This window comes from Homo sapiens, chromosome 19 (assembly GCF_000001405.40).
Source record: "Homo sapiens chromosome 19, GRCh38.p14 Primary Assembly".
NCBI classification, from domain to species: Eukaryota; Metazoa; Chordata; class Mammalia; order Primates; family Hominidae; genus Homo; species Homo sapiens.
In genome coordinates this window covers 57,210,038-57,228,250 of record NC_000019.10, presented here as the reverse complement: position 1 = coordinate 57,228,250, position 18,213 = coordinate 57,210,038, and the positions used below count along the sequence as shown (strand labels likewise).

At 43.0% G+C, this 18,213-nt stretch overlaps 1 protein-coding gene across 3 annotated transcripts in view; it reads right to left on the bottom strand.

Annotated features, from left to right (window-relative positions):
• The window catches only part of ZNF264 (zinc finger protein 264), a 31,347-nt gene continuing 18,538 nt past the window's right edge, over positions 5,405–18,213 (bottom strand). For all 3 annotated transcript variants that reach the window (NM_003417.5, XM_011527522.3, XM_047439724.1), the window contains one exon: positions 5,405–16,897. In NM_003417.5, coding sequence (NP_003408.1) covers positions 15,270–16,897 — 1,628 coding nt within the window. In that variant the 3' untranslated portion in view covers positions 5,405–15,269. The remainder of the gene's footprint in view (positions 16,898–18,213) is intronic.

Below are 18,213 nucleotides of genomic sequence, written 5' to 3'. Positions count from 1 at the left end.
ATTATGGAGGAAGTTTATAGTAAGAGATCCCTAGAAACAGGAGGCAGAGCACACCATGCGGGTGGAAGCACCAGAGCAGGTTAGAAAGCAGCAGCAGAGGAGAAAGCAAGGCCCAGAGCCTGCGCTGTGTTTTCCACCAGAAAGGCAAGGCAAGGCAGGGCAGGGGCAGCATAAACAGAATAGGATTTGCTACTGTGAATAATGTTGGCAGGTTTTAGGACACAGGCACTGTCCGCAGCTATCTGATATCTGACCCTAGAATGAATTAGGGCCAACTTCAGGAAAACAACCTCTTGGGGTATCTTGCCTGGTAAGATTTTTATGTCGAAAACCATAAGTAGGTCCTGCTGCACGTTTGACCAGATAATTTATGCTAACAATATGATTCATGGTGGATGCTGGCTTTTGCATGCATGAGGCCCTGGGCCATGCTATATGTTTGTTTTCTGCAAGGGTTGTAGACTGGATATTTATGGTTATTCATGTGGGTTCTGCATTCCTACCTCAATGACCCTTAACGAAAACTCTAGACGTCAAGGCTTGGGGGAGCTTCCCTGGCTGGCAATACTGTGAATGTGTTGCACACAACTTTGCTGGGAGAATTCAGTGTGCCCTTGTGCAACTGCACTGGGAGGGAACACCTGCTAAGTTTGTGCCTGTGCTGGACACAGTGGCTTCCACCCGTAATCCCAGCACTTTGGGAGGCCAAGGCGGGTGGATCACTTGAAGTCAGGAGTTCCAGACTGGCCTGGCCAACATGGTGTAACCCCATCTCTGCTAAAAACACAAAAATCAGCCAGTGTGGTGGCACATGCCTGTAATCCCAGCTACTTGGGAGGCTGAGGCAGAGGATCACCTGAACCTGGGAGGCAGAGGTTGCAGTGAGCCGAGATTGTGCCATTGCACTCCAGCCTGGGTGACACAGCGAGACTCCATCTCAAAAAAAAAAAAAAAAAAAAAGAAAAAGAAAAAAGAAAAAAAATTGTGCCTGGTTTCTCACAGATTTCCTCCTATGTGCCTTTTACCTTTGGTGATCTTGGTCTCTATCCTTTTGTGGTAATAAACTGTAACCATGAGTACAACAGCTTTTCTGAGTTGTGTGTGACTTTCTTTTCTGAATTTTGACTTTCAGGCAAATCATCGAGCCTGAGGTGGTACTGGGGAGAGAATGTCACATAACCTAAAATGTCAAAAATGATTAAGGCTCATTCACCTAACAAATATCTGAATACATACTATTGACTACAAACTATGCACATGGAACATTAGGAGAAAATCTAGATCAAGGTCTGTGCTTTTTCGAAGCTGGAAATTGAGTTCAGGATACGGTCATTATTCAATAACCAAACAAATCAATAGATAATCATGAAAGAATGGGTATGAGCTAGCTGGGTGCTCTAGTGGGCTTCTGTGAAGGTGTGCTCTCTGGGACAAAATGAAGGATACACATTTGCTAACTGGGCAAAGCAGGTGGTGGAAGCTCCATCTCGAGTGGGAAAAGGAAAGGGAAGCATGGAGTGAAAGGAGAGCAGTAAGACTTGTATGAGATGAGGGTTGGGGAAATACGTTTTAGGGTATGTTCACTAAAGTAGGTAGCTGAACCCAAGAGTGCAGATGAGGCCTGGGGAGAGACCAGTAAGAGAAAAAAGAGGCCTGGGACAAAGCCTTAGAAATTTCAACACCGGTCAGGCACGGTGGCTCATGCCTGTAAGCCCAGCCCTTTAGGAGGCCAAGGCAGGCGGATCACCTGAGGTCAGGAGTTAAAGACCAGCCTGGCCAACATGGTGAAACCCCGTCTCTACAAAAATACAAAAATTAGCCGGGCATAATGGCAGATGCCTGTAATGCCAGCTACTCAGGGGGCAGAGGCGGGAGAATCACTTGAACCTGGGAGGCGGAGGATGCAGTGAGCCGAGATCATGCCATTGCACTTCAGCCCGGAGACAGAGCAAGACTCTGTCTCAAAGAGAAAAAAAAAAGAAAAAAAATTCAACACCAAATGGCTGGATACACGTGGATGCACCAACATGAAAGGGGAAAAGGAGTGAGAGGGTGCAGGGGAGAAAACCAGAAGCATAACCTTACAGAATCCAAGAGTACATCTGGAGAAAGGACTGGACAACAACAGTTTCAAGTCCTGTCCATAGCCCAGAAAAGACAAGGACTTAGGATTCATAAACAGGGAGCCACTGCTGACCTTCACCAGAGTGGTAAAAAGCGTGGTGCTGTAGCCGGGGAGTTTACAAGGAGAGGGGAGTTGCGGGACGTGGAGAGAAATAACACAAGGAAGAGGTAATGGGAGCGTGACATGAGCCCCAAGAGGCTCCTCCATTAGAGGAAGAGAGTGAGGAAAAGACAAAGAACTCAAAGCTGGAGAAGCCCATACAGACATAGGGACATATGGAAGATCAGACTGGTGATGTCTGATACTCAAGAAGTGTGAGGATAATTCAGAAAGGGTTTGAAAATGACAAAAGAACATGCAGATGAAGACCAGGCACGGTGGCTCATGCCTGTAACCCCAGCACTTTGGGGGCCAGGGGAGGAGGACTGCTTGAGCCCAGGAGTTTGAAACCAGCCTGGGCAACACAGGGAGACCCCCATCTCTACAAAAAATTTAAAAATTAGCTGGGCATAGTGATGTGCACCTGTAGTCTCAGATACTTGGGAGGCTGAGCCTGCAGTGAGCCATGATCAGAAGACCCTATTTTTTTTTTGTTTTTTGTTTTTTGAGATGGAGTTTCACTCTTGTTGCCCAGGCTGGAGTGCAATGGCGCAATCTTGGTTCACCGCAGCCTCTACCTCCCGGGTTCAAGCATTTCTCCTGCCTCAGCCTCCCGAGTAGCTGGGATTACAGGCATGCACCACCACACTCAGCTAATTTTTTGTATTTTTAGTAGAGACGGGGTTTCTCCATGTTGGCAAGGCTGGTCTCAAACTCCTAATCTCAAGTGATCCACCTGCCTCGACCTCCCAAAGTGCTGGGATTACAGGTGTGAGCCACCGCGCCCAGCCTAAGATCCTATGTCAAACACACACACACACACACACACACACACAGCAAAAGAACATGCAGATGGAAAATAGGCTTGTAGGTGGCTGAAATGACATGTATGCCAAAAGTCAAGAAACTGAGATGAAAAAAGATTACTGTCACTGCTGAAGCCTAATTTCAAAGATCAAGAGACACACTTTGAACATATGTGAGTTCTTATACCTGAGAGCCAGGACATGGAACTAGGAAGAACAAGAGTACAGAGATGTTGAAAGACCACACAGCTACAAATGGCTAAAGGCTTAAGAAAGGAGGGAGGATGCCCATGAAAGGGAGGATAATCAAGAAAACACCATGTGGTCGGGCCGGGAGATGGCATTCTTCCTTCAAACTTGCAAACATTAAGAAGTGGCCCGGGGAGAATGATATCGGAAGGTGTTGTGTATTTGGGGCCCTCAATTAGTTGTGCTTGAGCTTTCTTGAGTGTCGGGCTATGAGAAGGGCATCAGGAGCTACCTTCCTAAAAACCCCAACCCCTCAGATGGTTGAGATTTTGCTAACACAATGGTCCCTCAAACGCCTGGGTCCTACCAATGCATCTGGAGAGCCCCTCTTTGGCATTGACCCCCTCCTCCTTCCATGGCTGTCCACTGAGTTCCAACCTAAGTATCACATTTGGCTTGGTGCACTGACACAGTTCTTTGGAAATGACATGGAAATGGCTGATTTGCTTTGCTAAATTCTTGAAATTCATGAGTGCTTTCAGGTAGGTTTTTTAAAATGTAGATTTTATTATTTAGCGTTGACGATGCCAACAGATCAGAAGACTGCCACTGATGAGTGTGTAACTCATAGTTCCCATGAAGAGGGGGTATATGAAGCCACACAGGGCTAAACAGGGAAGACTCACGGTTGGTTAGGAGACAGGAGGAAGGGGAAAGTGTGGGTAAAGCCTGTGTTATCATTTCTTCATTTTATTTTTAAAGAGCCAGGGTCTTGCTCTGTTGTCCAGGCTGAGGTGCAGTGGCTCAGTCACAGCTTACTGCAGCCTCAAACTCCCAGGCTCAAGTAACACTCCTATCTTAGCCTCCAAGTAGCTGCAACTAGAGGTGTGCACTATTGTGCCCCGTGAATTTTTTTTTTTTTTTTTTTTTTGTAGAGATGGGGTCTGGCTATGTTGCTCAAGCTGGTCTCAAACTCCTGGCCTCAAGTGAGCCTCCTGCCTTGGGCGCCCAGTGTTGGATTACAGGTGTGAGCTACCACACCCGGGCTGTATTGCCATTTTCGAGTGAAGAAATGGGTAAGGCAGAATAAACAAGTTATGAATTGGCTTAGCAATTCATAACTTAGCAAAAGCGGAGGAGACTTTTGCTACCTCTAAGAGGAGCAGTGTCTCCAGGATCAGCAAGGTCTCATTTGTCAAAATATCAGAATAAAAACACATGCTGAGCCAGGCAAAGTAGCTCATGCCTGTAATCCCAGCACTTTGGGAGGCTGAGGCAGGAGGACCACTTGATCTCAGGAGTTCGACACCAGACTGGGTTTCGAACACAGATATCTCATCTCTAGATTTAAAAAAAAAAAAAAAGAATCAGCTGGGCATGGTGGCAAGCACCTGTAATCCCAGCTACTCAGGAAGTTGAGGCGGGAGGATCACCTGAGCCCGAGAGATTGAGGCTGCAGTGAGCTATGAATGTGCCACTGCACTCCAGCCTGGGTGACAAAATTTCATTAAAGTCACCTGGCCAGTCAACACAAGGCCCATGGCTCGTAACCCTTACTCAAGAGGGTATTTCTCCTCCGCTATCTTGCCTGTCACATGCAAACCAGCCATTCCACAGCCCTACCCCTCAACTGTCTTTGGCAAGTTCTCACATGTGGAGCTACTATCCCCCTTCTTACTCAGTTACTTTTAGCTGGGAACTAGTACCCCAGTACTAGTTACTAGCTAAAAGCAGTCTATATACTCTGGAGCTCCCTGAAATTATTCAGACTAGCCAATTCATAACTTGTTTATTCTGCCTTGCCCATTTCTTCGCTCGAAAGTGGCAATACAGCCTGGGTGTGGTGGCTCACACCTGTAATCCAACACTGGGCGCCCAAGGCAGTGTTTCTTCTCCTTGGAGCAGTTCAGTTGAGACCACACAATTTTAAGATGTGTAACATGCCTGTGGCAAAGATTAAAAATCTTTGACCCTCAAAACCCAAGCACACTACTGAACATTGCAGAGGCACTCCAGCTTCCCACAATCGAGACAGGAAAGGCCATGCTGCGGTATGATAAAAAGGGTGCTGTGCAATTCCCACAAGCCAGATTCCCGTGGGTCTCCAACATCCCGTCTCTGTAGGGGACCTCTCGGCTGGAGTCAGCTGTTCAACTCCTCCAAAGTAAAACTCAGGCAAACATGATTCCAATAACATACTCTTTAATCACAAGTTATCTGCATTTAATAATGCAGAAATTATAAACCCATATTATTTAAATCTCTCCCCCACTGAAGCCATGAACTAGTTTCAAAAGCAGCAACAAAAGGATGACAAATTGTTTACATATATACTATAGAAATACACACTGAACTGGCAATAACATCTTTACAAAGGTGAACAAAGGGAGTACCTGCAAGTCGCACCACTTATAGCCATATATATATATTCATACACGTGTATATGTGTGTGTGTGTGTGTAGCTTGAAGTGGTCCATATGTACACACACATATACATATATATATATAGAGAGAGAGAGAGAGAGAACGCGAGCAGACTAGGTCCTTTCTTGAAAGACTCTCTCTGTACCTTTTCATCACTAAATTAAATCTCTAGGCTAGGGTGTTCATAAGTTCCACTGTAACTTAGGATTTGCTTTTTCCTCTTAACAAAACTGAGGCATTTTTTTTTTTTTTTTTTTTTTGAGACACAGTCTCACTCTGTCACCCAGGCTGGAGTGCAGTGGCATGATCTCGGCTCACTGCAACCTCTGCCTCCCAGGTTCAAGCGATTTTCCTGCCTCAGCCTCCCAAGTAGCTAGGACTAAATGCATGTACCACTACGCCCGGCTAATTTTTCATTTTTGTAGAGATGGGATTTCACCATGTTGGCTAGGCTGGTCTCAAACTCCTGACCTCAAGTGATCCACCCGCCTCAGCCTCCCAAAAGTGCTGGTATCACAGGCGTGAGCCACCTGAATTTATTACAATCATTACATAAGCCTTCACCACAAAGTCATGACCATTATTTTTTTGCTGAAAAAAAATTATTTGCTTAATGTTACGTAAATTTGACTTATATAGCATTTTAGTACCACTTAAGTCACTGTATAAAACAGCAGGTTGGAGACTGCTATCCTTTTGAGTTTGCAAGGTTCACCCTTGCTGGAGTGTGGGACCTTAGATTTTGGGAGGCTTACTACTGCTCCACCCACCCAAAACAGGAGTAGCTCACTGCCCTGTTTTTCGGTGCCTTTTTTTCCCCCCAGCTGAAAGGGGGATAACGTTTTCAGCTGAAAAGCTGAACCCCTGCTAACCTTCTGGAAGTCCAGAATTGTGGGATGTGCTAGAAAACATGCCCAATAAAAACCCTGGCACTGAGTCTCTAATAAGCTTCCCAGTGGACATATAGCATGTGTTGTCATAAGTACCAGATGGAACTTAAATAAGGCACATCCTGTGACTTCACTGAAACAAGACTCAGAAGATTGTGCCTGGTTTTCTCTGAATTTTGGCTTTTTCCCTTTACTATTTGCTTTGTATTTTTTTGCTGCAGTAAATCATAGCTGTTGAGTATGACAGAATGCTGAGACCTGAGTCTTCTCAGCAAATCGTCAAACCTGGGGGTGTTCTTGAGGATCCCAAGACAGTCATTCATAACAATTTCTAAAATCATGTACATCTGTCCAAAAAAGCCCAGGTAGGCCAGGTGCGGTGGCTCACGCCTGTAATCCCAGCACTTTGGGAGGCCGAGGCGGGTGGATCATGAAGTCAGGAGGTGGAGGCCATCCTGGCCAACATGGTGAAATCCCACTACTACTAAAAATACAAAAATTAGCTGGGTGTGGTCGCAGGCACCTGTAGTCCCAGCTACTCAGGAGGCTGAGGCAGGAGAATCGCTTGAACCCGGGAGGCAGAGGCTGCTGTGAGCCAAGATCACGCCACTGCACACCAGCATGGGTGACAGAGTGAGACTCCATCTCAAAACAAACAAACAAAAAAAGCCCAGGTAGATTATCTTTGAGGTCAAGGTATGTCATACATGGTACCACCTATACGCACAGCTTCATGGTAAACATTCTGTGAGGGAACCAAAAATTGCAATAAAGGCTGGGTGTGGTGGCTCATGCCTGTAATGCCAGCACTTCGGGAGGCCGAGGCGGGTGGATCACCTGAGGTCAGGAGTGTGAGACCAGCCTGGCCAACATGGTGAAACCCCGTGTCTACAAAAAATACAAAAATTAGCCGGGCATGGTGGCCCATGCCTGTAATCCCAGCTACTTGGGAGGCTGAGGCAGGAGAATTGCTTGAACATGGGGGGATGGAGGTTGCAGTGAACTGAGATCGCACCACTGCACTTCAGTCTGGGTGGCAGAGTATGAGACTCTGTGTCTCAAACAACAACAACAAAATTGCAATAAAAATAACTTTGCTGTGTGTGGCCATTCACCAAAACACACACATATATGGAGGGTCTACTAAAAAAAAAGGTGGAATGAACAGAATGGGGCAGTGCCTGGATGTGGGGACGAGGTAAGAGAAAAAGAGGTGGTTGCAATGTGGCTTGGGCAACAAGATTCAAATTTGGGAAATTCACCCTGATCTTTAGGCACTTCAAACACTCCTAAAGCCAGATGCATGTCTTACCGCTTCCCTACTCAGTTTTCCCACTCCCCTGTCCTCAAACCCAGACACTGTATCTTCTACATAGTTACAACAGATATTTGCACCCATTAAAGAGTGGCTTTGGTTTACCTTCCTCAAGTTGAAGAAACAGTCAAGATGTATTGTCGAATGAGAGTAACAGATTATAGCATTGTTGAATCAACTTTAGTAAAAATAGTGACCAGAAAACAAACCCCCCAACATGAGAAGCAATAAAGTGGTTAAAGACATGAATTCTGAAGCCAGTCTACGTGGCCTCCCATTCCTAAATCCAAACTTCATAACTGTGTAACCTTGGGCAAATTCTTAACCTGAGCCTATCTATATTCTGCTCTGCAAAATGAAGGAAACAACATTACCTACCACACACAGATGCTGTAAATGTTGAAAGAGCTGATGCATGTAAAACATTCACAACAATGTCTCATACATAGCCACATGACATTCACCTGCTCTCATTATAATTATGGGTGCATCCCCACGGCCAGGGCCATGGCCACATAGACACGCATACAGGCTCAGTGTTTACAAATGCAGAGAAAGTGCAGAAGATGCCCAGTGGGCCACAGACGTGAGAAACATCCAGTCTGGAGACATAGATTTGGGAAATTCTGTAGATCATTGAAAGTAAATGTCTTCAGCAGGAACCATCTCATTCACAGAGCTCATGGCAAGTGAAAAAGCAATGGCCAATGATGGATTCTGGGAAACAAAAATGTTTAAGAGTTGGAAGGAAGACACAGACCCTCTGGAGGAGAAAGACAGCAACTTTCAAGAACCAAGAAAGAAGTTTTGGTTCAGAGTGGTGGTCAGCAGCACAAAGTTCTAACAAGGAAGTAAGAGGACAAATGATGGAAGCCCTCCTGTAGCTGTCCGTGGAGTGAGGGAAATGAGAAGGGGCGAGGACGGGTAGTGTGCAGAACAACTACACAGACCATGTCTGTGGGAGACAGAAGAAATGGGCAGAGACTGATGGACAAGCGGGGTGAAATCCATTTGGGGATGAGGATAGAGACTTGAATACAGATACAGATTATGGGGGAAAAATCTGGTTATCAGAGACAAGTTAAAGACTAGGCGAGGAAGTATGACAGAGAGCCTAAAAAAGACTGGGCAGGAGGTAGGAAAATGTGTCCAATAACAAAAGGCAAGAGTGATCCTGGAAGAGAGGTGACTCCTTCCTGAGGATACAACAAGGCATAGAGAGCTAGAGAATTTTTTTTTTTTTTGAGATGGAGTCTCGCTCTGTTGCCCAGGCTGGAGTGCAGTGGCACGATCTCAGCTCAGTGCAGAGAGCTAGGGAATTTTACAAACATTCCATGGAGAACATGACTCTGAAAAATCTGCAGATCACTCTCAGTTGTAAGATCTGTTCATAGAAATATTGGTGTAGCACAACTCAGAAGACTGTGGGCTTTCTATTCCCCCAGATAGTTTAACATTTCTATTCAAATGTCAAGACAAACCACCAGAGAACCATGACTTTGGAATATAGTTGTCTATTCTCTGAGAGTCTTTCTTTGGCGTTAAAAAATAAGCAAAGAAACAGAAGGTGTACAAAAGAACCCACCCAATGGAAATTAAACAACTGGAAAATACAAAACCAAAATGAAAACTCACTGCACAAACTCAACAGATTAGGTATGACAAAGAAAACAATCAGTGAGGACCATGGAAGGTCAATAAAAATTAATCAATATTAACAAGACAGAAAATAGACTGGAAAAAGAAAAAAGATGAGAGCCTGAAGGACCCATGGGAGTGTAAAACAAGATCTGCCACTCATGTTATTGAAGTCCCTAAAAAAGACAAGACTGGGGGGTGAAAAAATATTTGAAGAAATAATAGTTGAAAGTTCCCCAAATTTTGCAAAAGGCATAATCCTACAGATCAAAAAGCTGGGCAAGCACCAGGGAGCGCCAAATAGAATACACCCAAAAACTTCCATGCCACGCACATCACAGCCAAACTTCTGAACACTAGAGACAATGAAAAACACTTTGAATGAAGCTTGACAGAACTGATGCATTGTAAAATAGGGAATGATTATTTGAATGCTAGTAGGTTTCTTATATTAAACAATAATGTACAGAACAGAGAGATACATCTCTGAAGTCTAAAAGAAAACAACTGCCAACTCTGAATCTTATATTCCACAAAAATATTCTTTGGGAATGAAGGAAACATAAAGACATCTTTAGAGGAAGGAAAACAAAGAACATTTGTTACTCTAGAAGAAAGGCTACAGTAAAGTTCAGTGTATAACTGAAAAGAAATGTTAATAGAAGGTTTGGGATTTCAAGAAAGAAGAATGAACAATGGAATGGGTAAAGAGGTCGACAGGCCAAGGTTGGCGGATCACAAGGTCAGGAGTTTGAGACCAGCCTGAGCAACATGGTGAAACCCCGTCTCTACTAAAAATACAAAATTAGCTGGGTGTGGCGGCGCACACCTGTAATCCCAGCTACTCAGGAGGCTGAGGCAGGAGAATCGCTTGAACCCAGGAGGCGGAGGTTGCAGTGAGCCAAGATCGTGCCACTGCACTCCAGCCTGGGTGACAGAGTGAGACTCTGTCTCTTTAAAAAAAAAAAAAAAAAAAAAAGGTCAAGAGACAATGTTTCTCATGACGTTTTGTAAAATACGTGTGAGAGATAAAGTAAAAATTACATCTTGTGGCCGGGTGCAGTGGCTCACACCTGTAACCCCAGCACTTTGGGGGGCCGAGGCGGGTGGATCATGAGGTCAAGAGTTCAAGACCAACCTGGCCAAGATGGTGAAACCCCGTCTCTACTAAAAATACAAAAATTAGCCAGGCGTGGTGGCGGGCGCCTGTAATCCATTACTAGGGAAGCTGAGGCAGTTAATTGCTTGAACCCGGGAGGCAGAGGTTGCAGAGAGCCGAGATCGCATCACAGCACTCCAGCGTGGGTGACAGAGTGAGACTTGGTCTCAAAAAAAAGGAAAAGAAAAATTACATCTTGCAACATAGCGCTCAATTTTTGAAGAGGAATTACTATTACTTAAGATAGTTACATTAGTAGGTAAGCTAAAGGAACCTAATGGAAGTAAAGTGCTAAATTGCTGATAACTTATTAAACTGTCATAAGTTATATATTTACACTGTAATAGTAGAACAATCACTAAAAAATGCAGATATATACAGACAGTCCCTGACTTAGGATGGTTCGACTTACTACTTGACTTTACAATGGTGCGAATGCGACATGCATTCAGTAGAAACCACACTTGAATTTTTATTTAAAATTCTTTGCAGTAACTTTATTATAAAGTAGGCCTTGTGTTAGATGATTTTGCCCAACTGCAGGCTAATGTAAATTTTCTGAGCATTCTGAAGGCAAGATCGGCTATGATGTTCAGCAGGGTAGGTGTATTAAATGCATATTTGACATAGTATTTTCAACTTGCAATGGGTTTATTGTGACATAACCCCATCATAAGTCAAGGAGGATCTATACTAAAAAACACTACATATGTATCAAATCAAATTATTAAAAAAAAAAAAGGTGAAGTAACCTATAGGAAGACTAGTAAACAACCCCAAATAACAGAGGAACAATAAAAAAGAACACAAAAATCATTTAAGGGCACACTTAAGCCCTAAAATATCAATAATTATTTTAATGTAAATCATTTCAACATACCAATTAAGAGAGACATATGCAGAATGAATAAAAAAAGCATGGCCTGAGTATATGCTGTTCAAAGAAACTGACTTCATAAGTAATGATACAGGTAAGCTTTAAAATAAAATGAAGAAATATTAACCATGCAAACATTAATCAAAATATGCAGGAGTCACTATGAGAACATCAGGTAAAGTATTGACAAGACTATTAAAAGGCAAAAAAATGACATCACATAATGACAGAAGAGTCAATTCACCACAAAGACTTGGCAAACCTACATGTATATGTACCAAACAATACAGCTTTGAACTTTGCAAACAAAAAGTGATAGAACTTGAAAGAGCAACACACTTCCACAATCATGTTCAGGACTTTTTGTTGTTGTTGTTGAGACAGAGTCTCGCTCTGTTGCCCAGGCTGGAGTGCAGTGGTGAGATCTCAGCTCACTGCAACCTCTGCCTCCCACGTTCAACTGATCCTCCTGCCTCAGCCCCCCAGCAGCTGGGATTACAGGCACACGCCACCATGCCTGGCTAATTTTTGTATTTTTAGTAGACAGGGTTTTGCCATGTTGGCCAGGCTGGTCTCGAACTCCTGGCCTCAGGTGATCCACCTGCCTTAGTGGTCTCAAAGTGCTAGGATTACAGGCGTGAGCCACTGCACCCGGCCTATGTTCAGGACTTCAACACCCCTCTCAGCAACTGACAGAAATGCTGGACAGAAAATCAGCAAGGACATAGCTGACTTGAATAACAATGAGCAGGATCATAGAGACATTTATAGAAACTCCACCCAGTAACAGCAGAACACCCATTCTTTTCAAGCAGCTATACGAAACAAGATAGACCCTATCCTGGGTCATAAAAAAATGTTAACACATTTAAACAGTCAGATCAAACATGGAACAAATTAGAAATCAGTAACAAATATGCCAAACACCAGAAAATTAAGCATACTATTAAATAATTCATGGCTAAGAGAGAATGTCTCAAAAAATAAAAACTATTAGAATTAAAATGTAATGAAAACATTAAAACTTGTGGGATCAAACCAATAGTGATATGAGGTAAATTTATACAATGTAATGCTTACATTAAAAAAGCAAAAAAATCTCAAATCAATAATCTAAAACCCCACCTTGAAAAGTTAGAAAGAGCCAAATACAACCAAAGCAAGTGGAATATAATACCGATCAGAGCAGAAATCAAAGAAATCAAGAATAGAGACAAATCATTAATATAAAGTGCTAGTTCTCTGAAGTGAGAGATGAAGCAAAAATTACATCTTTCAGCATGATGCGCAATAAAACTGATAAATGTCTAAGAAGACTCAATCATAAAATGAGTATGCACATTTTAAATATTAAAAATAAAAAGAAGTGCAGATCCTGCTATCAAAAGAATAAGGGAGTGCTACAAATACAGATGAAATATTCCTTCAACAGGACAGACTATCAAAATTTATTACACAAGAAATAGATACTTCGAATAGTTCTACCTATCCAATAAAATAAATATGTAATTTAAAAGCCTCCAGAAGAAAAATCTCTGGCCCAATGGTTGACTAGAGGTCATCAAACATGACAAGAACAAATAACACCAATTCTACACAGTCTTCCAAAAATTAGAAGAGAACTCCTTCCAATTCATGTTGAAAGGTCAAGATCACCTAGACATCAAAACCACACATAAGACATTTAGAACATAAGAAACAAAAGAAAAAAGAACTACACATTATTAGCCAATAAATTAGAGGAATATTTCCTCAACAAAATACAAACAAAGGGAATGATGTCAAATGATATATAAAAACAATTATACTCTACAAACAAGTATGGTTTATTCTAAGGATGCAAGGCTGGCTCAATATTCAAAACTTGATCAAAGCAATACATTCCATCAATAGGATGTAGAAGGAAAATAGCATAATGACATCAACTGGTGGAGAAAAAGTACTGAACAAAATTCCACACTTATTCATAGCAACACAGAGTCTCAGAAAACTGGGAACAGAGGAAATTTTTTACCCTTATAGAGGACATATGTTTTATAAAACTTACATTATACTTCATGATGAAAAACTGAACATGCTGTGCACTGTGGCTCACGCCTGTAATCCCAGCACTTTGGGAGACCCAGGCAAGCAGGTTGCTTGAGCCCAGGAGTTCAAGACCAGCCTGGGCACCATGGTGAAACCCTGTCTCTACCAAAAAATACAAAAATTAGCTGGGACTGGTGGTGCATGCTTGTAGTACCAGCTACTGGGGGGTGGTGAGGGCTGAGGTGGGGGGATCACTTGAGCCCAGGAACTTAAGGCTATGGTGAGACAAGATCGTGCCACTGCACTCCAGCCTGGGTGACAGAGCGAGACCCTGTCTCAAACAAAAAACAAAAAAACAAAAAACTGAACATTGTCCCCCCTACTATCAGGAACCAGGTAAGGATGGCCTTTCTCACTATTCCTATTCAACGCTATAATGGAAGTCCCAGCTTGTGCAATGCAATAAGACAAACAAAAAGGAAATAAAAGGTATATTACAGGTAAGATGAAAGATAAAAAATGGTCTGTATTTGCAGATGACATTTCTATATAGAAAATTCCAAGGATTCTGTCGAAAGAAATAGCTAAAAATAATAAGTGAACTCAATAAGGTTGCAGGGTAGCAAAACAATGTCCAAAAATATTATATTTCTGTATACTACCAAAAATTGTGTGCAATTCAAAGTTCAAACATCAATGCCATTTACAATCACTCAAATTACACACACACACAAACAAAAAAGCACCCTAGGATGCAAATTCTAACAAAAATGCATAGGGATCTATACGCTGAAAATTTTTAACATTAATGAAATACTTTAAGGAATGCTTAACTATTATAAATTAAGAGGCCTACTCCTGCACTCATGAACTACAAGACCCAACATAGTAAAGATACCAATTCTTAACAGATTAATCCACAGACTTAACTCAATTTCTGTAAAAATCTGAACAAGACTGTTTTGTAAATAAGTACAAACTAATCCTAAAAATTATATGGAATGTCAAAGGAACTAGAAATGCTGTCGATTTTAAATAAGAGCAAAGAAGAATCACTTTACTCAATTTAAAAATTTACCACTGACATTTTGAGCTAAGTAATTTTTAAAAATTTAACAAATAAAAATTTACCATATGGCTACAATGATGACGTAAACCAAAAGACGGGCATCAAGACAAAAGCCTGAATGTTAACATGTGTATCCTTACTGACTTAAACGTGAGTATTTCATGGCTCAAGCCCCCTAAGTTGTCATAAAGTTATGCTTCTCAAGAGTAAGTACTATTGTGGAATACAGAAGATGTGCGATTAAAGTTTGCATACTTTTCCTAAACTAACTGTTCTGACACTGGATAGCAATAAATGTACATACAAGCACATAAAGGGTCAAGGTTCTTTACCTTGAAACATTTCCCTTCCCCCAAATACACTAAGAAATCCATGACAAAGCGCCATAGGCTTGGCAGAGAAGCCTGAAAAGATGTGTGCTTGCATTTCATTTTTTCTATGTCCCCTCCTCCTTTTAAAAATAATTCCTGAGATAAAATTGCACTGTAAACTAAGGAGAAAGATGCAGCTGAAGGTTCTCCTATGTGCACAATAACCACTGGGTCTCTCTCCAGGATAAATTATCAGATGGAGAATAAGGCTCTAGACTGAACGAATTTCTAATATGACTCTTCAGATGACAAGTAATATTCAGCAACAGAAGGTTTTCTCACAGTGAAGACACTTGTGGGGTTTCTCTTTGGTATGGTTGATCAGATGCAGAGGAAGATGTTTCCTCTGGCAAAATATTTGCCTCAGTGGTTACATTCAAAAAGTCCTTCCCTAAAAGAAGTTCTCGAAGGGTAACTGAGGTTTGTCCACTTGTAAAAGGTCTTCCCACATCTGTTACACTGATGGGATTTTTCCCAGTATGCATCCTTTGATGCTGAGTGAGGGACGAGCTGCGACTGAAGGCCTTTCCACATTCACTACATTTATAGGGCTTCTCTCCAGTGTGGATAATGGCATGTCGAATGAGGTTTGTGCTCCAGCAAAACGATTTCCCACACTCAACACATTCATAGGGCTTCTCTCCACTATGAATCCGCTTGTGCCTCGTGAGGCCCGACATGCGGGTGAAGGCCTTTCCACACTCCACGCACTCATAGGGCTTCTCTCCAGTGTGGATGCTGAAGTGGCGAATGAGGTCCTTCCGATTGCTAAAGGCTTTCCCACACTCTTTGCACTCGAAAGGCTTTTCTCCAGTGTGGGCCCTTTTATGCAAGATAAAAGTAGAGCAGTGGGTGAAGGCCTTTCCACATTCACTGCACACGAAGGGCTTCTCCCCAGTGTGAATCCGCTGGTGCCTCTTGAGGTAGGATCGGTGGTTGAAAGCCTTCCCACACTCGAGGCACTCAAAGGGCTTCTCTCCAGTGTGGATGACATAGTGGTGAATCAGGGCTGCACTCTCCAAGAAGACCTTCCCACATTCACTGCACTCATAGGGCTTCTCCCCGGTATGAGTCTGCTGGTGCCACATGAGATATGACCTGTGTTTGAAGACCTTGCCACACTCCAAGCACTCATAGGGATTCTCACCACTGTGGACAACATAGTGCCGGAGAAAGCCTGGCCTATGTCGAAAGACTTGGCCACATTCTGTGCACACAAAGGATTTTTCTCCAGTGTGTCTCCTGTTATGCAAGACAAAATTGGAGCGGTGGGTGAAGGCCTTTCCGCATTCATTGCACTTGTAAGGCTTCTCTCCACTGTGAATCCGCTGGTGCTGGGTAAGGTATGACTTGCGGTTGAAGGCCTTTCCACACTCCATGCACTCATAGGGCCTCTCCCCAGTGTGGATCATGTGATGTTGCAGGAGATGTGTGCTCTTAATAAAGGTTTTCCCACATTCTGTGCATTCATAGGGCTTAACTCCAGAGTGAATTTTCTCATGTCCAGCAAGGAGGTGTTTCTTGTTAAATACTTTTCCACATTCACTGCATTTAAAGTTATTTTCCTCTTCCTGAATCATGGGATCTTTACCTGACTCACATGAGTTATGGCTACGGACTCTATCTCCTGGAGAGACTTGCTCCTGTCCAATCCTTGAACACACACCATCAGCTGTCCCTAAACCATCACATTCAGGGCTCATCTTCCCAGGAGACTTCTCCTGGGGATCTATTCCTGGTCTGAAGTGTCCTTCCTGCATTTCTGATAGCCCATCCTGATCCTCGGCTTGCCCCAACTGTGAGTCCACTGAGTTTCCTTGTGTCACTTGTCCCTGAAGTGAGATTCCCTCTGACAAGGCTGGCTCACAAGTGGTAGGTTCTGTGGTCTTAGGTTTTCCTTTGTCGCCTGAAAGAAATCCAGCACACAAAAGGGCCTGTTAGTAAAGGACAACATGGAAAAAAGAATATTACCATTTCTGTGAAAAACCATAGATAAAAATATTGCCTCTGTGTTGCTATTTTCTGTATCTCAAATTCTTGGGTTTGCAATTTCTTTCTATCCTGGTCCTTGGACTCGGGATATTCTGCATGGGAGACCTAGGGGCAGAGGCTGGGTCAGGAGACAATGCGTCTGTTCGTGGAGCCACCTTCACAATTACAGATTGGACCTGGGTAGACAGAGTAACGACGACACCGTGCATGGTAAGCTTCCTGTAAGCAACTAAGCAAGGACATGCTGTGTTGCTACAAGAACACGAGGAAGGAGCACCTAATGAGCCCACATGGAAGACAGGAAGTGAGTAACAAAAATTAATCCCCAAAGAGAAGTACGCTTTTCCTGTGAAGTCATGGAAAGTAACCTGTAAACACTGAGTAGTTCCAAAATGTTTTTACTTATGGTGGGACCCAATGGCCCTATCTGACAGTTTATGCAAACGGGGAACTCACTATGGAGTCCTCCACAGTTTATCCTGAAGAGATGACTCAGGTTAAGGTCTGGCCACTCCAGAAAGCTAAACCACGTGATTAGAAGGTTAGGGCTTATGTCATAATTTAAATGCTGAATCTCTGGAAAGGATGGCACGCTGGAGACCGAGCCACACAGGTGATGAGACAATCAACTGTGGTTATGTAATGAAGCTTCAGTACAATTCTGGACAATGAAGAGCTGGTGAGTTTCCTGGGTTGGCAACATTCTAAGCTCATATTGCCATATGCCAGACTGGGGCACAGCGAGTTCCTGAAAACACTGAGGCTTTGTGTTGGGAACCTTTCCAACCCAACATTCTGTGTCACTTCTAATTTGTTCCCTTTGTCTGTAATAAACATGACTGTAACTAAAACAGGTTTTAGAGAATTTTGTGAGTCTAAAGCTAATTAGTGAACCTGACAACGGCTTTGGGACCCAAACCTGTAGTCCGTGTCGGAAGAGTTAGACCTGGTAGTCTTAGAGGACTGTGTCCTTAACCTTGAGCTTGGCTAATCCTGGGTAGGAAGAAATCAGTTTTCCAGTAAGAGGTGCTCAATGAAGTGAGTCCTATGCTTGTGAAGAAGAGTTGCCATAAAGAGAAAGCAGGAAGGACACTGGACACTGTAGTCTAAAGAGACAGAAAGTACAAAGAAACTGCAGGATGGTGTTGATGACAATCCAGGGACAGAGGGGAGGCTGATTCCCATGATTCCGAGCTGGGTGACAGTGAAGGTGATATGACTGATGTTATA